At 45.6% G+C, this 26,312-nt stretch overlaps 2 protein-coding genes, 1 long non-coding RNA gene and 1 pseudogene across 5 annotated transcripts, besides 5 other annotated features; all 4 read right to left on the reverse strand.

Moving 5' to 3' along the window:
• ZNF20 (zinc finger protein 20) lies at positions 1-9,001 on the reverse strand. Of its 2 annotated transcripts, none has more exons than NM_001203250.2 (4): positions 8,831-9,001; positions 4,420-4,546; positions 4,151-4,211; positions 1-2,636 (listed from the first exon to the last, which is right to left on the reverse strand). In NM_001203250.2, exons 1-4 carry the CDS (start codon positions 8,831-8,833, stop codon positions 1,238-1,240), a joined length of 1,590 nt encoding a protein of 529 aa, NP_001190179.1. In that variant the 5' UTR covers positions 8,834-9,001; the 3' UTR covers positions 1-1,237. The 2 variants fall into 2 exon arrangements, with proteins under 2 accessions (NP_001190179.1, NP_066966.2); NM_021143.4 differs by having other exon boundaries at positions 4,420-4,555.
• On the reverse strand, positions 1-25,382 carry ZNF625-ZNF20 (ZNF625-ZNF20 readthrough (NMD candidate)). The gene is made up of 8 exons (NR_037802.1): positions 25,207-25,382; positions 16,327-16,453; positions 16,046-16,106; positions 11,292-11,366; positions 8,831-8,976; positions 4,420-4,555; positions 4,151-4,211; positions 1-2,636 (listed from the first exon to the last, which is right to left on the reverse strand). It is a non-coding gene; the product is annotated as a ZNF625-ZNF20 readthrough (NMD candidate) (long non-coding RNA).
• Positions 6,770-6,872: a silencer, noted in NCBI's record as "fragment chr19:12248934-12249036 (GRCh37/hg19 assembly coordinates)". NCBI's record gives its function as "represses an EF-1alpha promoter that drives an FKBP-Casp9 reporter gene in an ReSE screen in phorbol 12-myristate 13-acetate-treated (for megakaryocytic differentiation) K562 erythroleukemia cells {active_cell/tissue: K562(+PMA)}" and the evidence as "EXISTENCE:reporter gene assay evidence [ECO:0000049][PMID:32094911]".
• Positions 8,578-8,787: a silencer, noted in NCBI's record as "silent region_10144". NCBI's record gives its function as "represses an Ori minimal core promoter by ATAC-STARR-seq in GM12878 lymphoblastoid cells {active_cell/tissue: GM12878}" and the evidence as "EXISTENCE:reporter gene assay evidence [ECO:0000049][PMID:35858748]".
• RPL17P47 (ribosomal protein L17 pseudogene 47) lies at positions 11,032-11,526 on the reverse strand (annotated as a pseudogene).
• On the reverse strand, positions 13,541-25,385 carry ZNF625 (zinc finger protein 625). Of its 2 annotated transcripts, none has more exons than NR_037801.2 (4): positions 25,207-25,385; positions 16,331-16,453; positions 16,046-16,106; positions 13,541-14,875 (listed from the first exon to the last, which is right to left on the reverse strand). NR_037801.2 is itself a non-coding variant. In NM_145233.4 (4 exons), exons 1-4 carry the CDS (start codon positions 25,207-25,209, stop codon positions 13,948-13,950), a joined length of 1,119 nt encoding a protein of 372 aa, NP_660276.2. In that variant the 5' UTR covers positions 25,210-25,385; the 3' UTR covers positions 13,541-13,947. The 2 variants fall into 2 exon arrangements, 1 of the variants encoding a protein (NP_660276.2); NM_145233.4 differs by having other exon boundaries at positions 16,327-16,453.
• Positions 24,902-25,071: a silencer, noted in NCBI's record as "silent region_10145". NCBI's record gives its function as "represses an Ori minimal core promoter by ATAC-STARR-seq in GM12878 lymphoblastoid cells {active_cell/tissue: GM12878}" and the evidence as "EXISTENCE:reporter gene assay evidence [ECO:0000049][PMID:35858748]".
• Positions 25,048-25,739: an enhancer, noted in NCBI's record as "H3K27ac hESC enhancer chr19:12267212-12267903 (GRCh37/hg19 assembly coordinates)". NCBI's record gives its function as "activates a minimal SCP1, AML or CMV promoter by ChIP-STARR-seq in naive H9 embryonic stem cells {active_cell/tissue: H9 hESC(naive)}" and the evidence as "EXISTENCE:reporter gene assay evidence [ECO:0000049][PMID:30033119]".
• Positions 25,302-25,411: an enhancer, noted in NCBI's record as "active region_14044". NCBI's record gives its function as "activates an Ori minimal core promoter by ATAC-STARR-seq in GM12878 lymphoblastoid cells {active_cell/tissue: GM12878}" and the evidence as "EXISTENCE:reporter gene assay evidence [ECO:0000049][PMID:35858748]".

Here is a 26,312-nt window from a genome sequence, read left to right on the forward strand (position 1 = left end):
TTTTTCTCTTCTCACGAAATGTGACTATCTTTTAATATCTCACACATCTCACAGTCATCTATGGCTTTTGGTCATATTCATTACCACAGTATATTATTACACCCTCTTTGACGACACTTATGCCACTGGTGGTCTTTGGTCAGAAGTCACTCATAAGAACATGAGATCACCTTTGGTATTTAGAATAGATGAAAATTCATGATCCAGATAAAAACTAAGAATATAAGCATGAAAAGTAAAATCTACATGAGGAAAAATATGCCTGACATCCACATGGCAACACTGACTCACAGTGACCACCGGATAACATGGTAACATTATCAACTTGATCTAATACATGATGTTAATGGGAGGTTGTAATGTAGCTTCTTCATTAAAAAATAATAATTGTTAGTATGCAGTTGTTATAAACAGTTAATAAGCTTATTTCTAAAATACATGAACAGAAGTATTTGTTGCCAAGAAACCGCATTAGTGTTTTTAGTCAGGTATACTCATACAAAGTTAAAAACGAAGTGAGACATTACATTCAGTTGTGAATAACAGCAAATGCTTGAAATTTCCTGATAAGAGCAAGGTGGCTCTTCTCACATAAAAGCCCTTGGTGAGACCAATCACTGCACAATGCAGCAGAGGAACAAGCTCCCATCTAGTTGGTTTAATCAAGAACAGGCTCGCTAATCCGTAGAAACAACAATGCTTGCAATACAAAGTAGACCTCTTAAACCAACTCAATCTATAGAAGAGTTGGGCATCAGTGAGTATTTCCAGCCATAACAACATTTATTAGTTCTCTGGTAAACATTTTAACATTTCTGAAGAAACAGCAAAGTGGGCATGTATCTTTAATGTGGAGCACTGGGGACATATCTGGAGACCTACAACTCTGAGGAACAGAGACAAGTGATTTGGGGGATATTCTCGATTAACAAGCCAAAGAATCAGGAAAATGGGCTGGAAGCGGGTAGCCACACACCTCTCTCCCTGTGTGGGGCCTCTAATATGTGACTGATGCCTTCCTTTTCTGTGCCTTTGAAATCTCATGCAAGATTGGCTATAGGTGAATTGTATTACGAAACCATCCAAGTTCTTCTAGATTTTATTGTCCTATCGCAAGTCTCTCTTCTCAATTCAAAAAGCAGTTATCCAGAGGTTCTTTCACCACTCTCTTTTCTTGTGTTTCAAAGGAAGTGGGACAACAGAAAGCTTCTCCCGTTGCTTCCACTAAAAGGATTTCTCATCTATTAATGGTATGAGTTCTTTCATGTTCTCGACATGAACTGGCACGAATAAAGGCTTTGCCACATTGCTTGCATTGATAGGGTTTCTCTCCAGTGTGAGTCCTTTCATGATATCGAATGTAATTGGAAATAAAGGCCTTACCACAGTGCTTACATTCATAGGGTTTCTCTCCAGTGTGAGTCCTTTCATGATATCGAATGGAACTGGAACAAGTGAAGGCTTTGCCACATACCTTACACTCATATGGCTTATCTCCAGTGTGTGTCCTTTCATGTATATGCAAGGAAGAGAAATACCTGAATGCTTTTCCACATTGCTTACATTCATGGGGCTTCTCTCCAGTGTGCGTCCTTTCATGTATACGCAAGGAAGAAAAATACTTGAATACTTTTCCACATTCCTTACATTCATGGGGTTTCTCTCCACTGTGCGTCCTTTCATGAATTTGAAGTTGTGAAGCACATCTAAAGCCTTTCCCACACTGCTTACATCCATAGGGTTTATCCTCAGTGTGTGTCTTTTCATGCCTTTGAAGGTCCGAGGTACATCTGAAGGCTTTACCACATTGCCTACATTCATAGGGTTTCTCTCCAGTGTGAGTCCTTCCATGCTTTTGAAGGTGTGAGCCACATCTAAAGGCTTTCCCACACTGCTTACATTCATAGGGTTTCTCTCCAGTGTGAGTCATCTTATGATACTGAATGGAACTGAAAGAAATGAAGACTTTCCCACATTGCTTACACTCATAGGGTTTTTCTCCAGTGTGAGACCTTTTATGTCTACGAATTTCACTAGGAAAACTGAATGCATTCCCACATTCTTTACATTCATCGGCATTCACTCCTGTGTGAGTTCTTTCATGTACTGGAAGGGTAGTGGAACGAGTAAAGGCCTTACCACATTGTTTACACTTATATGGTTTCACACCAGTGTGAATTCGTTCATGGATAAGACATAAATTGAGAAAATAGAAGGCTTTCCCACAAAACTTACATTTATAAGGTCCATCTCCACTGTGCATTACCCTGTGTCTTTGAATGCATGAATGGGAAATGAAGGTTTCTGTACATTCTTTACCATCATAGGGTTTCTCTTTAGTGCAAGCTTTATCATGTGATTGAAAGGAGTCAAGATAACTGAAGGCTTTCTTACATTCCTTATTTCTATATGGATTCTCTCCATATTCCTGATACTCAGATGACTTGTGTCCAGTGTCAGCTCTGATATGCGTATTAAGAGATGAATGACCCGTGCCAACTTCTCCACACACACTGCTTTCACATGGTGTTATTCCAGGAAGAGTTTTCCTGTTCAGCATGTCATCTGCAATCTGGTTGAAGCTTTCTCCACAGTGATGACTTTCTTTACTTTCACAGAGTTTCTCTCTCATAAGACTTCAGTGAAAAATGAGAAGCACATTATTAACGGTTTGATTAAAAGTGACTTATAGGGCCGGGCACAGTGGCTCACTCCTGTAATCCCAGCACTTTGGGAGGCTGAGGTGGGCAGATCACCTGAGGTCAGGAGTTTGAGACCATCCTGGCCAACATGGTGAAACCCCGTCTCTACTAAAAATGCAAAAATTAGCTGGGCGTGGTGGCAGGTGCCTGTAATCCCAGCTACTCGGGAGCCTGAGTTGGGAGAATCGCCTGAACCCCAGAGGCAGAGGTTGCAGTGAGCTGAGATTGCGCCATTGTGCTCTAGCCTGGGTGACAAGGGCGAAACTCTGTCTCAAAAAAAAATAAAAAAATAAAAAAGTGATCTATATTGGCTGGGTATGGTGGGTCACGCCTGTAATCCCAGCACCATGGGAGGTTGAGGCGGGCAGATGGCTTGAGGCCAGGAGTTTGAGATCAGCCTGGCCAACATGGCGAAACCCTGTCTCTACTAAAAATACAAAAATTGGCTAGGTGTGACGGCGTGCGCTTGTAATCCCAACTACTTGGGATGCTAAGGCACGAGAATACCTCGAACCCAAGCAGTGGCAGTTGCAGTGAGCTAAAACCACACCACTCCACTCCCGCCTGGGTGACACAGCGAGACTCTTGTCTCAAAAAAGAAGAAAAAAACATGATTTATATCATTAACAACTATTGCACTTGCATTGTTAACACTGCCCGGCAAAGTGTCAGCTTTCTGCTCTGTCTGAATCATTTGAATATTAATGGACTATATGCTCTACAAGATGGTCTGGGTATATATATTTTTTTAAAATTAGTATTTCTATGGGGCTTTGTAATCCTATTTTCAAGTAAACTATTTTACAAATACTAAACATGTGCGTCTTTTTTTTTGAGTTGGGGTCTCAACTCACCCTGTTGTCCAAATTGGAGTGTAGTGGTACCAACATGGCTCACTGCAGCCTCAAACTCCTGGCCTCCAGCAATCCTTTGGTCTGAAAGCCCCAAAGGACTGGCATTTGGGGGTATGCGCAACAGTGCCCAGCCCAGCGTATGTTACATTTAAACATATGTTTTTAGGAAAACTTTCTATGAATACATAAATTTGATACTGGGCTTATTTCTTTTGCTTCTTTTTAACATTTTCTCACTTTTTTTTTTTTTTTGAGACGGAGTCTCGCTCTGTCACCCAGGCTGGAGTGCAGTGGTGCGATCTCGGCTCACTGCAAGCTCTGCCTCCCAGATTCAAGCAATTCTCCTGCCTCAGCCTCCCAAGTAGCTGGGACTACAGGCATGTGCCACCACGCCCAGCTAATTTTTTTGTATTTTTAGTAGAGACAGGGTTTCACCATATTGGCCGGGCTGGTCTCGAACTCCTGACCTTGGGATTCACCCACCTCGACCTCCCAAAGTGCTGGGATTACAGGCGTGAGCCACTGTACCCGGCCTATTTTCTCACATTTTAAGATTTTCTAGAGGCATTGCCTTGTCTTGCGAGAGAAAATTACCTTAGATTTCTCCTGGGATTTTTGTACTCATCTTCAATGTTCTGAACTTTCCATGTTTTTCCTAAAACACAGACCCGGAGAAAACACAGATCCAGAATTAGTATGAATTTATTTAAAAATCATTAGATTCTGTATTCATGGTACATGGTAGCCATGCCTGATTTATTCATCAAAGTATTTTTTGTCCATGTTCCAAATCAATGAACAGCATTGATGAGCTAGAAGCATTTGTTCTCTAATTCACTGGGAAGTAATATTGTCATTCTTACCTACAGAGGTCAGGTTCTTGAAGGTTTCCTGCATCACATCCCTGTAGAGATTCTTCTGGGAAGGATCCAGCAAAGCCCACTCCTCCTGGGTGAAGCTGACAGCCACATCCTCAAAGGCCACTGAATCCTGAAACATCTCACATATATAAAAGAGGACAGGTAAGACTAACAGCCCTGGAGGCCTATACTTTATTCCTAAGAAGTTCTCATGATACTGTGGACTCCAAACATTTATCCCATGACTTGGTCATCACACCTCTTACTTTCTGTCTATACTCACGTCCTCCCACAAACCAACCCTTTTTTTGTTAAGAGAGAGGGTCTTTGGCCAGTCGCGGTGGCTCACGCCTGTAATCCCAGCACTTTGGGAGGCTGAGGCAGGCAGATCACTTGAGGTCAGGAGTTTGAGACCAGCCTGGCCAACATGGAGAAACCCGTCCCTACTAAAAATATAAAAATCAGCCAGGCGTGGTGGTGGGTGCCTGTAGTCCCAGCTACTCGGGAGGCTGAGGTAGGAGAATTACTTGAACCCAGGAGGTAGAGGTTACAGTGGGCCGAGATCGCGTCACTGCACTCCGGCCTGGGCGACAAAGCAATACTCCATCTCAAAAAAATAATAATAAAATAAATAGGCCAGGCGCAGTGGCTCATGCCTATAATCCCAGCACTTTGGGAGGCCAAGGTGGGCGGATCACCTGAGGTCGGGAGTTCGAAACCAGCCTGACCAACATGGAGAAACCCTGTCTCTATTAAAAAAAAAAATACACAATTAGCTGGGCATGTTGGCACATGCCTGTAATCCCAGCTACTTGGGAGGCTGAGGCAGGAGAATCACTTGAACCCGGGAGGCAGAGATTGCGGTGAGCTGAGATTGCACCATTGCACTCCAGCCTGGGCAACAAGAGTGAAACTCCGTCTCGAAAAAATAAAATAAAATAAAATAAATAAAATCTATACTAATCAAGAGAAAATGGTATTAACAGATGGAAAGATAGACTAATGGAAAACAGCAGATTCTGAAAATAGTGAAACCACGACAAAGCAGGTATCACCAGCCAATTATGCAAGTGGTCCTCACTTACCAGAAGGAACAGGGACAGATGGTTACCTACAGGAGAACAAACAATCTTTGAAGCCCATCATCTCCATATGAATTAATTCTAGAGTTGCCTGTTACCGTGACTTCTTATGTTACCTTACCATGCATTTTCATTATGGGTTTCACTTTCTTATAACAGAAGAAACCCGTACTCAAGCCGTGTGTAGTGGCTCATGCCTGTAATCCCAGCACTTTGGGAGGCCAAGGCAGGCCAATCACTTCAGGTGAGGAGTTCAAGACCAGTCTGGCCAACATGGTGAAACTCCCTCTCTACTAAAAAACACAAAAATTAGCCGGGTGTGTGCGTGCCTGTAATCCCAGCTACTCGGGAGGCTGAGGCAGGAGAATCGCTTGAACTCGGGAAGCGGCGGTTGCAGTGAGCTGAGAGAGCGCCACTTCACTCCAGCCTGGGCGACAGAAAGAGACTGTCTCAGAAAAAAAAAAAAAAAAGAAGAAGAAGAAAGCTGCACTTGACCTCAACAGTTTCCAGTTATCCACCTCCTCCCAGTTCCTGCATGTGCTCAACCCACATATGTGACTTACACAGCTGCCTCCTGGTGACGACCTCACTGTGGAAAAGCTAGACAGACCAACTTGACTTGCCCCACTGACCCTTATACCCACGTGGATGGCACAGACCACCTGTTAATCACAGCCTGACTTCACAGAACTAGCACCTGCTTGCTCCAAATCTATCAGAAACAACTCCCTAAGAGAAACCTCCTTGGGCATTGCCCTGGACCCCAAGAAAAACTCTGGCCCAAAAGTCCCTGTCTGTCTTTCTCCCCACCTGCTGGTTGAATGTGCATCCTGGATGTTCCCCCCACTCTGTGTTGCCCTGCAAGGTGTGCTGCCCTCATCTGTCTGGGATGTGATAATGCACTGTTATGTCATGGCTTTATGGCTTTGTTGAGATGACTCTGCTGTGGCTCACTTCACCTACACCTTTCCCTTAATAGCAACATCCAACTGGCTGACCAGCTATGTGTCTCCAAATAATGGAAGCTGGGACTGGGGGAGAAAAACTGAGCATCCCAAGGGGTTGGCTATCTAGATGAAGAGTGTACCAGGAGTCTCCTCCCATTTGGGAAATTCAGTTGCTCCTTTGGGAGATCCCACACCCTGCCTCAGGCTATCCTCTGGGAGGACTGACACAGGGGCTGATATTCAGTAGGCCAGGAGAGATGGGAGCTGTGGGCATTTTGGTTCAGCCCCAGGCGGTTCTGAAACCCAGGACCAGGAAAAGATAGATTGGGACTCCTGAAGACACATCACCCTGTAAAGTTTTCAAAAAGGAAACAGGCCAGGCACGGTGGCTCACGCCTGTAAAATTCCAGCACTTTGGGAGGCTGAGGCAGGCAGATCATTTGAGCTCAGGAGTTCGAGACCAGCCTGACCAACATGGTGAAACCCCATCTCTACTTAAAATACATGGGGTATGGTGGCGCATACCTGTAAACCCAGCTACTCGGGAGACTGAGGGCAGGAGAATCACCTGAACCTGGGAGGCGGAGGTTGCAGTGAGCCAAGACCACGCCACTTCAATTCAGCCTGGGTTACAAAGAGAGACTTTCTCTCAAAAAAAAAAAAAAAAAAGGAAACAACCCAAAGACATTCTGAGATGGTGTCTGTGCCTTACGAAGATAAGAGGAGAGGAACAGAGGTTTTTCACTGGAGTATCAAGTGGTTATTCTCTATTCTATGTGAAATGTTCAGAAACAGAACACAAATATTTTAAAAAAAGTTATCCATGACCTTGTGAAAAGATGATAAACCACTAAAATACTGCATCTATGTGAAAGAAAGGATGAAGAAATATACTCTACAATAAAGAAAGTTGATACAGGAGGCTGAGGCAGGAGAATCACTTGAACCCGGGAGGCAGAGGTTGCAATGAGCCAAGATCATGCCATTGCATTCCAGCCTGGGCAACAAGAGCGAAACTCCGTCTCAAAAAAAAAAGAAAGTTGATAATACTGTGAGTTGGAGAAGGGGAGTTAATGTTTGGAGATGCGGAAAAGTAATTGAAAATTTAAGATGTTACTGCAAACTGCTGAAGAGTTAGGGCGGGGTAGCAGGGTGGAGGATTTGAGACCCATACATTAGGAAAATGCAGGAGGAAGCCAGTCCCTATAGACAGTGTGAAAAAATTTAAAGCAGCAGCAATTAGACTGAAGTGTGTTTAGTGCTATAAGAAACTACCTAAGGACACCAAAATCAAACTCAAATTGAGGCAGGAAAATAGGGTCTGGACGCAGGGAACATAAGGCCTATTCAAACTTCAGCTATGAAAGGAAATACCTACTCCATAGGGCGTAAGCCAAGTAAATGATTTTATAACCTTACTTCATCCTCTCCTTTTACATAGAGTATACCCCAAGTAACCAATGGAATCCTCCAGGGGGTATTTAAACTCCCAAAAATTCTGTAACGGGGCCTTTGAGCCCCTGTGCTCAGCCCCGCTTGCACACTGTGGAGTGTTAAATCCCTTCATTCCTTCCTTGCTTTGTGCGTTTTGTCCAATTCTTTGTTCAAGACGCCAAGAACCTGGACCCCCTCCACCGTTAACAAAATGCAATTCTTCTTAAAACTTTCTGGTACCAAAACCACAAATCATGACTGGGCGTTTCTCACTCATGAATCGCTGTTTGCTCAAACTCTTTAAATTTTTTTTTTTTTTTGAGATGGAATCTCGCTCTGTCCCCTAGGTTGGAGTGCAGTGGCGTGATCTCGGCTCACTGCAACCTTCGTCTCCTGGGGTCATGCGATTCTCCTGCTTCAGCCTCCTGAGTAGCGGGGACTACAGGCGCATGCCACCATGCCCGGCTAATTTTTTGTATTTTTAGTAGAGACGGGGTTTCACTGTGTTAGCCTGGATGGTCTCGATCTCCTGACTTCGTGATCCGCAAGCCTCGGCCTCCCAAAGTGCTGGGATTACAAGCATGGTCCACCGCGCCCGGCCCAAACTCTTTAACAGAAAAAAAAATCCGCAGGATTCCCCCATGACCCTCCCGTGGTCCCCGCAAAATCTGAAGAGACGCGGGGCTGCAGGCGCGGAGCTGCCCAGAGAGGGCTCCAGGGTCGGGGCCCACAGTCGCCCGCGCAGGAACAGAACAGGAGGACGCCCGGGGTCCCGGCTGCCGGCCCAGCCGCACCCTGCGGCCGAGGGGACGCAGGGACGAGCTGAGACAGAGGGATTCGGGTCCCAGATCCAGGAGGCGCGGCGAGGAGGCCCAGATCCCACCACAGCCGCTTCCGGCCGGTTCCACCCAGCCCCTCCCCCGTCTGGGGACTCCGGCCCCATACACTCACCATTTCCCGGCTTCTGGGTGTCCCGGTGTCCTCTCTAGGGCTCCCGTGAATAGTGCGGGTCACGGTGCAGGCGGCAGAGCGACAGAAGTTGTGGCAGAGGGACCCGGGGCCTCTCGGAGTAGGAAATCTGGTATCCCGACAACAACCTGCATAGCAACAAAAGTAGAAGCTGGAATGGGCCTCCTCCTTCCGGACGGACCGTTGGCCGGGCTCCGCCCCGGCGCTTCTGATTGGACAAGGTACAAGGCCCCGCCCCCTCAGAACTGAGTGACGGCAGAAGCCCTGGGTAACGAGCCCTGCAAAGCCGGACTGATCGGTTCTAGCCACAGCTTCTCTCTAAGGGACAACTCCTTCCCTGAGCCCTGGTCATTGGATATTTTCTTTTCAGCCAAATTTGCTCCTGATTTTTACACAGGGCACTATCTTCTTCCTCATTCAATGGGCTGTCAGTGCTTCTTCGTCCTGCACAGGGTTGTAAGTGTGTGCAGGGAATTCCAGACTGAGTGTCCAATGGAGCGATGTGCTGACCTCAGAGCAGGAAGGGGAGCCCAGATCAGGCCAGGCACGACTGCACCAAGAAGGAGAGGCAGTTGTCCTTCAGGGGCCCGGAATTAGGGATGAGACATGGCCAAGGCTTTCACACATCTCACCCCACCTCACAGTGTGGAAACTCTCCCTCCTTCCAGACCTTCATCTTCATCGGCAGAAAACTCTCACTTGGTGATTTTAAGCTTCTGACCTAAATAAACTGTCAACTGCATAAGCCCCTTCTCCAGGAGAGGTCCCAAACAGTTATTTCCCTGAACTTGATCTTTACGGATTTTCTTCAGATATGCAAATTACAGTCTGACCCCAGGGACTCTATGCATGTCAAACCCAAAACACTGCTCCCGAAAACCGCCCCAGATTCCAGATGTACAGCCGCAGAAAGGACAGAACTCCTGAAGTGCACCTGCACGTGGGTCTCCTGCTTTCCAGGGCGCTGCAGCATGTCAGAACCCACACTCTTTCTGGATCTGCTCTGAGCAGCTGCAAGCCACCTGCAGGGGAGGGCGGCTGCCCAGGAAGCACCCAGAACTCCACTTCACTCCTTGGCAGGATCCATACTAGCCTCAGCGTCCCGTCCCTGGCGTCGGTCTCTGCTGCCCCCTGCAGGTTATTCACCTGCTTCTCACATCATTCATCAGTTTCCATGAGACAAACATCCTCAATCCCACTGCGAGAATAACACACGAGCAAAGCTCTCCTCCAGTGTGTATGTATAAAGTCGAGGAGGAAGTGTCCAAGATTATTTAACTGCATGAAAGTGAGGCAGTAGTGGCTGGGCGCTGTGGCTCAAGCCTGTAATCCCAGCACTTTGGGAGGGCGAGGTGGCTGGATCACCTGAGATCAGGAGTTGGAGACCAGCGTGACCAACATGGTGAAATCCCGTCTCTACTAAAAATACAAAAATTAGCCGGGTGTGGTAGAGCCCACCTGTAATCCCAGCTACTCGGGAGACTGAGGCAGAAGAATCGTTTGTATCAAAGAGGCTGAGGTTGCAGAGAGCCGAGATTGCACCACTGCACTACAGCCTGGGCAATAGAGCGAGACTCTGTCTCAAAACAAAACAAAAAAACACACAAATGTTTAGTCATGTTACTTATTTCTGGTTTCCAGCCTGACTTTATAACATTCCTGACTCTGGGACTCTCCAGCTCTCCAGAATTATGCTTTGAAGAAAAAACAAGATAGAGCACAGGGCCCACATGTCTCTTATAAACTGTGAACCAAAATATTACATAGCAGCCATCTGTCAGAACTGCTTCCAGGCTATTGTCCTCAGTCACAATCCTAAATCAAACTCACTTTCTTTAACAAATTTAATTTTTTTTCTTCAGTCCACATGAGTAATCTAAAAGAAACACATAGACAGAAGAATCTCTTTATTATCATCTTTCTACCAAGTCAACATCAAGCATTAAAAAAATGTAAAACAAAGTGAAAACCATCCTTCTCTGATTCATCGTAGACCCAGAATCTGCCAGTCACCAACACCTATCTTCATTTTCTCTATTACGGCCAACTTTTATCTAAGAGATATCATAGGGGCATATTTAATAGAGTTTGTCATTTTGTGTTTTATGAATTTTAGAGGTTTTTTTGTTTTGTTTTGTTTTGAACTTTTATTTGCATTTTCTTTTGGCTGAATTTGTTTGTCTCTTAAGTTTATGTTTCTTCTGGGGTATCTTTTTCTTCCGTGCATCCTCCTTTTCTGCTTTTGGAACAAGGTGTTTCTTTTCACTAAGCATCATCTGGATGTGGCAGGGGAGTTTGTGGATGGGTTCATCTGCCCATGAGTTCTGTAAGTCAGGTGGTACATTATGGGTGCCTTTTCCCTGGATGTGCTCAATAACCAGGGAATCTACATCTATACCCTTAAGTTCAGCATAACTCTGCACTTGTAAGCAAATTTCAGTACCTTTTCGGGGCCACTGATGGTGAGTCCAGCCCCAATGTCTGTCTTGCGTACAGCGACCAACTCCACTTTCTAAGACTGAAATGGTACACATAATTTCTGTAAAAGAAAATATTTCAGATACTTGGTGGCTTTTCATATAGGCATACCTGTGATGGCCTGAGCACCTTCACAGTTTACAGTGAACATGAGGGTTTCATCCTTCTAACATGCACGACTTCGTGGGATTTTCTGGGTCATAGTGAATAATGTTCATAGATCAACTCAGGCCACACAAGAGGACAGGTTTTCTTTGGTCTTTAAAAGGAACTGATTAAAGAAAAAAAAAAAAAAAAGGTGGAAGCCAGGCACAGCAGCTGGTACCTGTAGTGACAGCTACTTGGCAGGCTGAGGTAGAAGGATTGTGAGCCCAGGAATATGAAGCTCTCATGCACTAAGATCACACTTGTGAATATCACTGCACTCCAGCCGGGTCCAAACAGCAAGACCAACTCTCTAAAAAAAAATTACATAATAAAATAATTTAAAAAAAAGTTTGTGGTTAGAAAAAAGTTTTTATTTAAGACATTCATTAAAGAAAAAAGTACTTTGAGAAGAGATTAGGGCCAGGCGTGGTGCCTATAATCCCAGCACTTTGGGAGCCCAAGGTGGCAGATCATGAGGTCAAGAGATTGAGACCATCCTGGCCAACATGGTGAAACCCCATCTCTACTAAAAATACAAAAATTAGCTGGGCGTGGTGGCGCATGCCTGTAGTCCCAGCTACTCAGGAGGCTGAGGCAGGAGAATCTCTTGAACCTGGGAGGCGGAGGTTGCAGTGAGCCAAGATTGCACCACTGCACTCCAGCCTGGCCACAGAACAAGACTCTGTCTCAAAAAAAAAAAAAGATATTAGGCCTGGCGCAGTAGCTCACACCTGTAAGCCCAGCATTTTGGGAGGCTGAGGCAGGTGGGTCACTTGAGGTCAGGAGTTCAAGACCAGCTTGGCCAACATGGAGAAACCCGTCTCTACTAAAAATACAAAAATGGCCGGGCGCAGTGGCTAACGCCTGTAATCCCAGCACTTTGGGAGGCCAAGGCAGGTGGATCACCTGAGGTCAGAAGTTCGAGACCAGCCTGGTCAACATGGTGAAACCCTGTCTCTACTAAAAATACAAAAATTAGCTGGGTGTGGGGGCACACGCCTATAGTCCCAGCTACTCAGGAGGCTGAGAAAGGAGAATCGCTTGAACCTGGGAGTTGGAGGCTGCAGTGAGCCGACAGCACACCACTGCACTCCAACCTGGAGCAAGACTCTGTATCAAAAAAAAAAAAAAAAAAAATTTGAAGGCTGGAAAAAGATTAGAAGGCCGGGTGCAGTGGCTCACACCTGTAATCCCAGCACTTTGGGAGACACTGGTGTGGGTCACTTGAGGTCAGGAGTTTAAGACCAGTCTGACCAACATGGTGAAATCCTGTCTCTACTAAAAATATAAAAAATTAGCCTAGCGTGGTGGTGGGTGCCCGTAATCCCAGCTACCCGGGAAGCCAGGAGGTGGAAGTTGCACTGAGCCGAGCTCACACCAACACACTCCAGCCTGGGCAACAGAGTGAGACTCTGTCTCAAAAAAAAAAAAAAAAAAAAAAAAAAAAAAAAAAAAGAGTTTAGAGGCTGGGCATGGTGGCTCATGCCTGTAAAGCCAGCTACTCGGGAGACTGAGGCAGAAGAATCGCTTGAACCCAGGAGGCAGAGGTTGCAGTGGGCTGAGAATGTGCAACTGCACTCCAGCCTGGGAGACAGAGCCCGACTCTGTCTCAAAAAAAAAAAAAAAGAAAACTCGTGAGAACGAATGGCATAAAATACGTAGTGTACCCGATAGCCAGCCATTTATTATAGGATATTTTTGAATAGGAACTTTAGCCTTTTGTTTTGATAAAGCTTTCTGAGGCAGTGAGTCTGACAATGGCACTTCCGTTATCCCTTTAGTGAGTTTCTTAAAATGAGGGCTTGCCACTTAGGTATTGGGCTTTCAATAGGAGGGAAAAGATTTTTCTGACCTTCCTGTATATATATACCTGCCACTTTGCTGGGCTAACCTTATTATTATTATTATTATTTTGAGACGGAGTCTCACTCTGTCACCCAGGCTGGAGTGCAGTGGCGCAATCTTAGCTCACTGCAACCTCCACCTCCTGTATTCAAGCAATTCTCCTGCCTCAGCCTCCTGAGTAGCTGGGACTACAGGCGCCACCACACCTGGCTAATTTTTGTATTTTTTAGTAGAGATGGGGTTTCACCATATTGACCAGGCTGGTCTCGAACTACTGACCTCGTGGTCCGCCTGCCTCGGCCTCCCAAAGTGCTGGGATTATAGGCATGAGCCACTGCACCCGGCCAAACCTCGTATTTTTTTTATGACAGAACTGTCTTAAGGTCTTACTGGAGGTGTGTCTCTCTTAAGAGTTATTTCCAACTCTGTGTCCTAGGTATCTGAGTGAGGCCCCAGCTAAACTACTCCCAAAAATTTTTGCTCCTGGGCTACTGGCATTTATTTCTGAATGCTGTCAAATGACAGTGACTGCAGAAGCTTCAGAATAATTTTGCGATGGTTCCCATGATTTGAGGGAAACACATTTTTACCATGATTGGATTCGGTGGCTTCTAGGAATCTTATGTGAATTAAGCAATCTTCTCGCCTTGGCCTTTCGAAGTGTTGGAGCTACAGGGTTTTTCTCCAGTGTGAGTCCTTTCATGGATTTTAACGCTCGAGGCACATCCAAAGGCTTTACCACATTGTTTACATTCATAGGGTTTCTCTCCAGTGTGAGTCCTTCCATGTGTTCGAAGGTGCGAGGCAGATCTGAAGGCTTTCCCACATTGCTTACATTCATAGGGCTTCTCTCCAGTGTGAGTTCTTTCATGATATCGAACGGAATTGAAAGAAACAAAGGCTTTCCCACACTGTTTACATTCATACGGCTTCTCCCCAGTGTGAGTTATTTTATGTGCATGGAGGCATGTGGAACTATGGAATGCTTTCCCACACTCACTGCATTCATAAGGCTTCTCTCCAGTGTGAGTTCTTTCATGTATTCGAAGGCTACCAGAATGACTAAAGGCTTTACCACACTGTTTACATTCATATGGTTTCTCTCCAGTGTGAGTTCGTTTGTGGATAAGATACAAACTGAGACACATCAAGGCTTTCCCACAAAAGTTACATTTGTAGGGTCCATCTCCACTGTGCATTATCCTGTGTCTTCGAATGCTTGAACGGGAAATAAAGCTTTTTCCACATTCCTCACAATCATAAGGTTTCCCCCCAGTGTGAGCCCATTCATGTGTTCGAAAGTAGGGGAGATCACTGAAGGCTTTCTTACAGTATGTACATTTATATGGCTTCTGTCCATATTCCTGATACTCATATGGCTTGTGTCCAGTGTCAGCTCTGTGGTGCCTATTAAGGGATGCATGACCCACGCTGACTTCTCCACATGATTTTACTCGGGGAGTTTTCTTCTTCAGCATGTCATCTGGAACCTGGGTCAAAATTTCTCCATGCTGATGATCTTTCTTACTTTCTAAGAGTCTCTCTCCCATAAGACCTCTGTGAACAATGAGAAGTATATCATAATGGGTTCCTTTATCACTGATTTGATATTCATTAACAAGTCATTGCACTTGTATTTCTAACACTGTACAGCAATGTGTAGGCTTTCTGCCCTGTCTGAACATGAACAGACCACACATGCTCTACAAGATGGCCCAGCTATACCTGTTATCAAGAAAGATAATATTGATATAGGGCTTCTTAGTACTTTTTAAACATTTTTTGAGATAGGGTCTCACTCTGTCATCCAGGCTGGAGTGCGGTGGTGAGATCTCAGCTCACTGCAACCTCCATCTCCCGATCTGAAGCCGTCCTGCCACTTCAGCCTCCTGATTACCTGAGGCTACAAGCATACCATCGTGCCTGGCTAATTTTTGTATATTTGCTAGAGATGGGGTTTTGTCACATTTCCCTGGCTGGTCTCAAACTCCTAGACTCAAGCAATCTGCCCACCTCAGCCTCTTAAAGCATTAGGATTACAGGCATACACCTGGGCGCCCGGCCAACACTATTTTCAGGTAAACTATTTTACAAGTACTAACTGTCTTTGTCAATTTTATTGCTTCTGAGTCAGGGTCTTGCCCTTTAACCCAGGCTAGAGTGTAATGGTGCTATCATGGCCGAGTGTAGCCTCAAACTCTTCAGCTCAAGCAATCTCTGACCTGAACCTCCCAAAGGGCTGGATTATAGGCTTAAGCCAGGATGTTCAGCCTATGTCACACTTAAATATATGTTTTTAGAGATTTTTTTTTTTTTTGAGACGGAGTCTCGCTCAGTCGCCCAGGATGGAGTGCAGTGGCATGATCTCGGCTCACTGCAATCTCTGCCTCCCGGGTTCATGCCATTCTCCTGCCTCAGCCTCCCAAGTAGCTGGGACTACAGGTGCCCGCCATCACGCCCGGCTAATTTTTTTGGATTTTTAGTAGAGACAGGGTTTCACCATGTTAGCCAGGATGGTTTCGATCTCCTGACCTCGTGATCCGCCTGCCTCAGCCTCCCAAAGTGCTGGGATTACAGGCGTGAGCCACCACAGCCGGCCCTAGAGAAAATTTTGTAAGAATAAATACAGTGGAACTTGGCTTATTTCTTGTTTGCTTCTTTTTAACATTTTCTTCCATTCTATGATTGTCTAGAGAGACATCACTTTCTCTTGTGAATGCGAATTACCTTAGGTTTCTCCTGGGATTTTTGTACTCATCTTCAATTTTCTGATCTTTCCATTTTTTTCCTAAAATACAGAACCAGAAAAATAGTCCTGAATTAGCAAAATTATGAAAAAAGTACTAGATTCTAAGTTCATGGTACACTGCAGCCTTGCAGCATTTATTCACATTCCTATTCCCTGTCCTCACTATTCCCTGTCCACACTCCAAATCACTCAACACTACTGACAAGCTAGAAACACTTGTTCTCTAATTCACTGAGGAAAGTAATATTGTTACCCTTACCTACAGAAGCCAGGTTCCTGAAGGTTTCCTGCATCACATCTCTGTAGAGATTCTTCTGGGAAGGATCCAGCAAAGCCCACTCCTCCTGGGTGAAGTTCACATCTACATCCTCAAAGACCACTGAATCCTGAAACATCCCACATGTGTAAAGAAACATGGGTGAGACTGACAGCACTGGGTTCCTATACTCTATTCCTACAAAGTTTCCATGGTGCTATGGACTCCAAACATTTATTCCATGATCTGGTCATCAGACTTTTTACTCTGTCAACACTCACTCTTCCATAAAGAAATTCTTTTTTTTTAATTATTATTATTTTTTGAGACAGAATCTCATTCTGTCACCCAAGTGGGAGTGCAGTGGCATGATCTTGGCTCACTGCAACCTCCGCCTCCCAGGTTCAAATGATTCTCATGCTTCAGCCTCCCAAGTAGCTGAGATTATAGGCGCCTGCCACCACGCACAACTAATTTTTGTATTTTTAGTAGAGATGGGGTTTTACCATGTTGGCCAGACTGGTCTCCAACTCCTGACCACAAGTGATCCACCAGCCTTGGCCTCCCAAAGTGCTGGGATTACAGGCATGAGCCACCAAGCCTGGCTGAGGCCCTACCAATCTGACTGATAAGAGTCATAACTAACTAAAACAAAAAATCAAGAGCAGAAACCTTTCTTGGAAACTGTGCTTGGGTAGAAAAGCCTGAATTATAACTGATGAATTGCTGGAGGTTGAATGGCAACAAGATTGGAGAGGCAAAAACTCCAGGGTGTCCAGTCTCAACAAAAAGGCAAATATTTATCAAATGTAAAAACTTTTGTGTGAAATGGTGTAAGAGAACACCATCAAGAGAGAAAATGAACCCCATGTGCTCTGTCCAAAGGATGGTAAATGGCTCAGCCCCTATGGAATAGTATGACGGTGCCTGAAAAAAATAATATAACTACCATTTTTTTTTTTTTTTTGAGATAGAGTCTCACTCTGTCACACAGGCTGGAGTGCAGTGGCACAATCTTGGCTCACTGCAACCTCAGCCTCCCAGGTTCAAGCAATTTTCTGCCTCAGCCTCCCAAGTAGCTGGGATTACAGGCGCCCGCCACCATGCCTGGCTAATTTTTGTATTTTTTTTAGTAGAGACAGGGTTTCACCGTCTTGGCCAGGCTGGTTTTGAACTCCTGACCTTGTGATCCACCTGTCTCGGCCTCCCAAAGTGTTGGGATTACAGGCATGAGCCACTGCGCCTGGCCAAAATTAACATATCTTTCAGCAATCTACTTTTGTGTCTACTTATTTTCAATTAAAAAAAAATTGAAATCCAGATCTTGAAGACACATTTGAAAACCACTGTTAACAATAGCCAACTTTGGGAGGCCAAGGCAGGTGGATCACGAGGTCAGGAGATCAAGACCATTCTGGCCAACATAGTGAAACCCCGTCTCTTCTAAAAATACAAAAATTAGCTGGTGTGGTGGCGGTGGCGTATGCCTGTAATCCCAGCTACTCAGGAGGCTGAGGCAGGAGAATCACTTGAACAAGGGAGTCGGAGGTTGCAGTGAGCTGAGATCTCACCACTGCACTCCAGCCTGGCGACAGAGCAAGACTCAGTCTCAAAAAAAAAAAAAAAAAAAAATCAGTAGCCAAGAGCTGCATCAATCCACCTGTCCATTCATTGATTGCTGAATGAATAACAAAAATGTGATAGGTATATATATATATATGCAATGGAATATTATTTAATCTTTTAAAATAACAACCTGTCCGTTGTTACAACAAGCATGAAAATTTAGGATACTATGCTAACAGCCAAGGTAGTCACCAAAAGAAAAATACAGTATGATTAAAGTTATGTAGAGTTGTCTAACTAAATCAACTGTACAGTTAAAATTGCATAAGCTGGTAAAATTTAAGTTTTTTACTTTATAATTATTAAAATTAATAAAATACCAAGTAAAAACCTAATTGATTAAAAGGTGGGCAAAGTATTTCAGTGACGTTTCTCAAAGATACATACAAGTGACAAGTAAGCACGTGAAAAAGGGTTCAACATCAGGAATCATTCGGCAGAAGTATTTTTTTTTTTTTCAGACGGAGTTTCGCTCTTGTTGCCCAGGCTGGAGTGCAATGGCGCGCTCTTGGCTCACTGCAACCTCTGCCTCCCAGCTTCAAGCAATTCTCCTGCCTCAGCCTCCCGAGTAGATGGGATTACAGGCATGCACCAACACTGCGGGCTAATTTTGTATTTTCAGTAGAGACAGGGTTTCTCCATGTTGGTCAGGCTAGTCTTGAACTGCTGACATCAGGTGATTTGCTCACTGTGACCTCCCAAAGTGCTGGGATTACAGGTGTGAGCCACCACGCCCGGCCCGACCTAAGTATTTTACACAACAAAGTTTCCGGTGGTTATTGAGTGCTTTCCTCTCATGAAAAGTATTCATAAACAAAATAGAAAAGTTTCCAATGCAGCCATTCATGGCTCTGTGGAAAAATGAAAAACAAAATACTACAGCTCTTTCAAATACATCATGGTGGACACACTGATGAAGATGTCGATTAGAGAGGGGAGATGGGTGCTTTGGAATGTGGGAAGGGAATCAGAAATGTAAGGATTTGTTGTTGTCCCCATGAAAAGGTAGCTGTGGGGGTCTCAAGGACTCCCTCTTTGACAAGGCTTTGACCTTGTCCTACAAAACCCAGTTATAGCAAAGATCCTTCTAAGGGAGTTCAGAGAAACCCCACCCTGGCCCCTCCAAACGTGATACCCAATGAAGTTCTGTTACCCCTATTCATAACTCATCAGCTTTCTCTTCTGTAACCCTTGATACCTCACCAAGTTCCATCCTCTCCCTCAATTTACCCTTGAACTATAGGTTCAATACTGTTGTTGCTGCATGCAAGGTTGAGGTCAATCTCTCTCCCATATTACAGTTCTCATGACCCACATCACAACTGTCCTGAATAAAGCCTTCTTTGACATTTTTAACACGATTTCAGTACAATCTTTTTTTACAAGGGACAGGGACTTAGACTTGAAACCCTGCTTCACAAGTCTGGAATGCATAGGGGATAATATGCTCTCTCCCTGTGGGAAGGAAGGAGGGTGTCCTGAGAGTATCTCCCACTCACATATCCAGAACTCTGGGTCAGACTTCTCTCCTCATGACCACTCCTTGTTGTCACTCCATAAACTGGGTGAGATGGGGGACTGTGGATACACCATTACCCAGACAGTGTTCTACGGTGGAGCTCGCCTCCTGCAGTGATGGGACACAATGCCTGGGAGTCCTGTTTGCCAATTCAGCCCTTACCTTGTGTCATAAAGGAGACTGAGGTTCCAACTGAGATGGATATATGTGAGGACCAGGTGTAGAATTTTCAAGTTTTTCTTCCATTTGGTGAATACTCTTTGCAATTTATTTCTTCTTTTTTTTTTTAAGCCTATAGCAAGCAGTATTCTCATGCATTCTATAAACCATGCAGTAACCAGGCTTGAATCTGCTCAGCTGCTAAGATCAGCTATACTCTTGTATTTCTTTTTTTTTTTTTTTTCTTTTGTCTGAGACAGAGTCTCACTCTGTCATCCAGGCTGGAGTGCAGTAGTGCAATCACAGCTCACTGCAGACTCAACCTCTGGGGTCAAGCAATCCTCCCACCACAGCCTTCTGAGTACCTGGGCTCACTGGAGCATGCCACCACACCTGGGTAATTTTTTTTTTTTTTTTTTTTTGAGACGGAGTCTCGCTCTGTCGCCCAGGCTGGAGTGCAGTGGCACGATCTCGGCTCACTGCAAGCTCTGCCTCCTGGGTTAACGCCTTTCTCCTGCCTCAGCCTCCCGAGTAGCTGGGACTACAGGCCCCGCCACCACGCCCGGCTAATTTTTTGTATTTTTAGTAGAGACGGGGTTTCACCGTGTTAGCCAAGATGGTCTCGGTCTCCTGACCTCGTGATCCGCCCGCCTCGGCCGCCCAAAGTGCTGGGATTATAGATGTGAGCCACCGCGCCTGGCCAGTTTTTTTTATTTTTTGTAGAGACATGGTCTCACTATGCTTCCCAGGTTGGTCTTAAACTCCTAGGCTCAAGAGATCCCCTTACCTCAGCCTTCCAAGTTCTGGGATTCCAGATGTGAACCACTAACCTTGACCATACTCCTGTATTTCTTCATTGTGTCTTTCAAAACAGAAAAGCTTAAATTTTAATGTAGTCAAAATTACATACTTTTTCTCTGTTCCTAGTGTTTCTCTTGTCATATTATAGCCTCTTCTTCCTAAACCTAAGATCATGAATATTTTTGGGTGGCACATTCTGTAGCAACAAGAGGGTGAGGTTCTCCTTTGTTCCCAGAGGAGAATGAGACTGGTGTATTCTGCAGGCTAATAAGGAAATGAAACTCACTATACTATGGAGGATAAAAGTATATAAATTTACACTATAACAGTATAATGCCATATAGGCTAATACCGTTTATATGTGGCACTTATATATCATATACACGTTACATGTAATATTTACCAATTACCTACCATAACTAAACCATATACTGTATATAAATGCAACATATGTACATGTATATGTGTATATATATACACACACACTATATCCTGTACTAGATAATGCTAGATTCTATTAAAATACTGTACATGAATATCTCCTTTAAATTTCAAAAGAAAACACCTCACCAATATATTGGAAAAGAGAATCCTATAACAATATCATACCCGTGATGAAGTGGCATTCAATTCAGGAAAGCAATGCTGCTCTCACCTCTGAAAATCCATTCATGCAATACACCATAATAGTATAGGATCAACAGCAAACAACACAAGAACATCATAATAGATGCAGAAAAAGCATATGACAAACCTCAACATTTCTTCATGATAAAAACACTCGGCCGGGTGCAGTGGCTCACACCTGTAATCCCACCACTTTGGGATGCCAAGGCGGGAGGATCACAAGGTCAAGAGCTCGAGACAAGCCTGGCCAGCACGGTAAAACCTCGTCTCTACTAAAAATACAAAAAATTAGCTGGGCGTGGTAGCATGCGCCTGTAATCCCAGCTACCCAGGAGGCTGAGGTAGGAGAATCGCTTGAACCCAGGAGGCAGAGGTTGCAGTGGGCCGAGATCATGCCATTGCACATCCCAGCCTGGATGACGGAGCGAGACTCCATCTTAAAAAAAAAAACAACAACAACTCAATAAACTAATAATACAAAGTAACTTCCTTAACTTACTATAAGGTATATATAAAAAATGCAAAACTACCCTCATTCGTGATGGTGAAGGACTAACTGCTTTCTCCCAAAGATGAGACACAGACAAGGATGTCTGCTCTCATGCCTTCTACTCAGCTTGAGAAAGGAGATGCTACTAGGCCAACCAGGTCAGAAAACAAAAGCCTAGGCGGGACGCGGTGGCTCACGCCTGTAATCCTAGCACTTTGGGAGGCCGAGGTGGGTGGATCACGAGGTCAGGAGTTCAAGACCAACCTGGCCAAGATGATGAAACCCGTCTCTACTAAAAATACAAAAATTAGCCAGGTGCGGTGGCAGGAGCCTGTAATCCCAGCTACTTGGAAGGCTGAGGCAGAAAAATCACTTGAACTTCGGGGGAGAAGTTGCAGTGAGCCTAGAATGCGCCACTGCACTCTAGCCTGGGCGACAGAGTGAGACTCCATCTCAAAAAAAAAAAAAAAAAGAAAAGCCCTCCAGATTTATAGTAAAGACACATGCACGGCTGGGTGCAGTAGTTCATGCCTGTAATCCGGCATTTTGGGAAGCCAAGGCGGGTGGATCACCTGAGGTCAGGAGTTCAAGACTAGCCTGGCCAACATAACAAAACCCTGTCTCTACTAAAAATACAAAAATTGCCGGGTATGGTGGCGCAGGTCTGTAATTCCAGCTACTTGGGAGGCTGAGGCAGGAGAATCGCTTGAACCTGGGAGGGGGAGGTCGCAGTGAGCTGAGATTGTGCCAGTGCACTCCAGCCTGGGTGACAGAGGGAGTCTCTGTGTCAAAAAAAAAAAAAAATACATGCAGTGATTCTGGCAGGCATATAGACTGTCACTGCCCATACCGGTGTACAAACTGAGGCAGAAATACAAAAAGGCAAAAGACTTATGTTAGTTTTATATTTCTTTTTTTTTTTTTTTTTTTTGAGACGGAGTCTTGCTCTGTCCCCCAGGCTGGAGTGCAGTGGGGTGATCTCAGCTCACTGCAAGCTCTCCCTCCCGGGTTCACGCCATTCTCCTGCCTCAGCCTCCCGAGTAGCTGGGACTACAGGCACCTGCCGCCATGTCCGGCTAATTTTTTGTATTTTTAGTAGAGACGGGGTTTTACCATGTTAGCCAGGATGGTCTCAATCTCCTGACCTTGTGATCCACCCGCCTCAGCCTCCCAAAGTGCTGGGATTATAGGCGTGAGCCACCCCGCCCAGCCCTTACCTATATTCTTTTGTAAAATATTGAAAATGCCTGAACAGAGCCAGGAAGGGCCTCTTTTCTCTTGATCTTCATTATAGATTAACTTTCCTCTTACCTTTCTCACACAAAGACTTCATGGCCATCACAGTGTCTTAAGCTGGAATGTCAAATTTGATAATGGCTCACTGCAGCATCAAACTCCTGGGGTCCAGTGATCCTCCTGCCTCAGTGTCCCTTGTATCAGGAACTACAGGTGGGTGCAACCACACCTGTCTAATTTTTCTATTTTTCTTTTCTAGACATGGGTCTTGTATTACCAAGGCTGGTCTCCAACTCCTGGTCTCAAGCAATCATCCTGCCTCAGCCTCACAAAGCTGGGATTACAGGTGTGGGACACTGCACTAGGTCAAGAGTTTAACTTTTAGCTCCGGAGTTCTAAGCCCATTTCCCTAGAGTCTGTATTTTCTTGAATGGCAATTCTCAGATTTTCACTTAAATAATCTCCTTATAATAGGAATCTGATCATTTCAATCATTTAAGGTAGAAAAATCCAAACAAGGCGACTACATCACTGTAACCAATAAAGTATTTTTTGATTTTTATTCTAATGCACCATATAAAAGCCTATCCTTCAACCTGTAAACTAAAAATAAAAACCTAAGCTCCCCATCCCACCCCAATCAAGTCAACTGAGTGGCTCTTTACCAAGGGGAGGCCCCCCAAAAACCTGAAAGTTCCCAGTTACATTAGTAAGGGAGATCAGACACTCCATACTCCCTTCTGGAGTTTAGACACAGCAACTGACCCACATTCATATTAAAATAGACATAAGACCTGCAAAGAGGCCGGGCACAGTGGCTCAGTCCTGTAATCCTAGCACTTTGGGAGGCGGAGGGAGGCGGAGGCAGGCGGATTATTTGAGGTCAGGAGTTTGAGACCAGCTTGGCCAACATGGTGAAACCCCATCTCTACTAAAAATACAGAAATTAGCCGGGTATGGTGGCGTGCACCTGTAATTCCAGCTACTTGGGAGGCTGAGGCAGGAGAATTGCTTGAACCTAGGAGGCGGAGGTTGCCGTAAGCCGAGATTGCGCCACTGCACTCCAGCCTGGGCGAGAGTGAGGCTCCATCTCAAAAAAAAAAAAAAACCTGCAAAGAAACCCTTTGTACCAATAAATACTAAATTGCAAACAAGACCTAAGGCCATGCAAGGCAAGGGTAAAGTCACGCCTTAGAATTCATAAAATCTAGTGAAACATATCTGTTTTTTGGTGGGGATGGAATCACGTGGCAGGTAACAGACTCCCTTCACTTAAACATTCCTTCCTACCCCTTTCAAATTTTAGACACAACTTCACACTCTCAGCCAACTGCCAACTACAGAATCCCTCAACCACCTGTGCCTTCTAAGCCCCGCTTCTACGTGTCCTGCCCTGTCAGCCTTCCATGCCTTGATTGATCTTTTCCCTGCAATTCCTGTCTCGCTGAAATGAATAAAACCAAACTGCCATCGAACCTCCTGGGGACCACTTACTCGAGGCTACATGCGGTTGTTTCCCTTGGTCACGTTCTCTCATATTCGGCGTAGAACATAGTTCAAGTTATTTTGCAGAGTTTTGCTCTTTCCGTTATCAAACTGCAAGCCATGACTGGGTGTTTCTCATTCAGGAAACATTTCTCATTCATTTTTTTCAAACTCCTATTCTGAGAAGCAAAACTCTTTAATTTTTAAGAGGACTCAGTTTAGTTTGTTGCTGTTGTTTTTGTTTTGTTTTGTTTGAGACAGGGTCTCGCTCAGTCGCCCAGGCTGGAGTGCAGTGGCGCGATCTCGGCTCACTGCAGTCCCAATCTCCTCCCTCAAGCGATCCTCCCACCTCAGCCCCCCAGTAGCTGGGATTACAGGTGGGCGGCACCACGCCCGGCTCATTTTTTAAAAATTTATTTTTAATAGAAACTAGGGTCTCGGTATGTTGCCTAGGCTGGTCTCGAATTTCTGGGCTGAAGCAATCCCCCCGCCTCAACCTGCCAGGCGTGACCCACTGCGCCTGGCCTTCAATTTAGTTTTTCAGGAAAAAAGGGGGGACTGGGGACCCCGCAGCCCACCGCTCCTCCCACACGAACCACACACCCGAGGCAGGATTGCCTCCATGACCCTCCCGTGGTCTCCGCACAATCTGGGGAGACGCGGGACTACGGGCGCGGAGCTCCCCAGAGAGGGCTCCGGGGCCGGGGCCAGGGCCGGGGTCGCAGTCGCAGCGCAGAGACGGGACAGGACGCCTGGGGTCCCGGCTGCCGGCCCAACCCCACCCTGCGGCCGAAGGGACCGAGGGCCGAGCTACGCCAGGGGGACTCCGCTCTGCAGACCCGAAGTCGCTGCAGGAAGGCCTGGGTCCTGCTAGAGCCGGTTCGAGCCGGTTCCTCCCGGCCCCTCCCCCGTCTCGGGACCCCCGGCCCCGCACACTCACCATTTCCCGGCTTCCAGGTGTCCTGGCCTCCTCTCCACGGATCCCTCTAACAGTCCAGTCACAGTGCGGGCGATGGAGCGACAGAAGCTATGGCGGAGGCACCTGGTCCCTCTCGGGGCCGGAAAACCGAGATCCCGACCTCCCTTTGGTGCAAGACGCCTGGGAGTCAGGAAAGCGGGAATGCGGCCTCCCCTTCCCCGGATGGACAGTTGGCAGGACCCCGCCCCAGCGCCCCTGATTGGATGAGGCTCCAGTCCCCGTCCCATCGGTCCTGAGTGACAGCGGAAGCCCTGGGTAACAAGGCCCGGCAGAACCGAAATGACCTGTTCCAACCACAGATTATCTAAGCGAGCTCCCTCCCTGCGTCTTGCTCTTTGGGTATTTGCATTTCAGCCAAATTTGCTCCGAATTGCTAGAGGGGGTACCGTTGTCTTCCTCACTCAATGGGCTGTCCCTGCTCCTTTGTCTTGCACAGGAAATTCCAGACTCAGAGTCCAGTGGAGGTGAAGGAAATTAAAATATTTTACGCCAAAATATATTTATTTGACAGATTTTGAAATGGCTGTGGCTCGGCCGCAAAAAAAAGTGGACTGGCAAAGCTGTCTTTGGAGGGGGGGAATTTGCATCTGCAGAGAATCTCCATTGATGAAACCATGCCCTCTCCCCCTTTATTTCTTTCCCTTTATCCAAGCTAGAAGAGATTGTGACCTGAACACAGGCAGGGTGCGGTGGTTCACGCCTGTAATCCTAGCACTTTGGGAGGCCAAGACTGGAGGATCCCTTAAAGTAAAGAGTTAAAGACCAACTTGGTCAACACAAGAATACCCCTGTTTTGTTGTTTTTTTTTTTTAATTTTTATTTATTAAACTTTAAGTTCTAGGGTACATGCGCACAATGTGCAGGTTTGTTACATATGTATACATGCGCCATGTTGGTGTGCTGTACCCATTAACTCGTCATTTACATTAGGTATATCTCCTAATGTTATCCCTCCCACATCCCCCCACCCTAGACCCCTGTTTTTATTATTTAAAAATCTTTACGGCCGGGAGCGGTGGCTCACGCCTATAATCCCAGCACTTTGGGAGGCCGACGCGGGCGGATCA

This window comes from Homo sapiens, chromosome 19 (genome assembly GCF_000001405.40).
Source record: "Homo sapiens chromosome 19, GRCh38.p14 Primary Assembly".
In the NCBI taxonomy this organism is placed as follows: domain Eukaryota; kingdom Metazoa; phylum Chordata; class Mammalia; order Primates; family Hominidae; genus Homo; species Homo sapiens.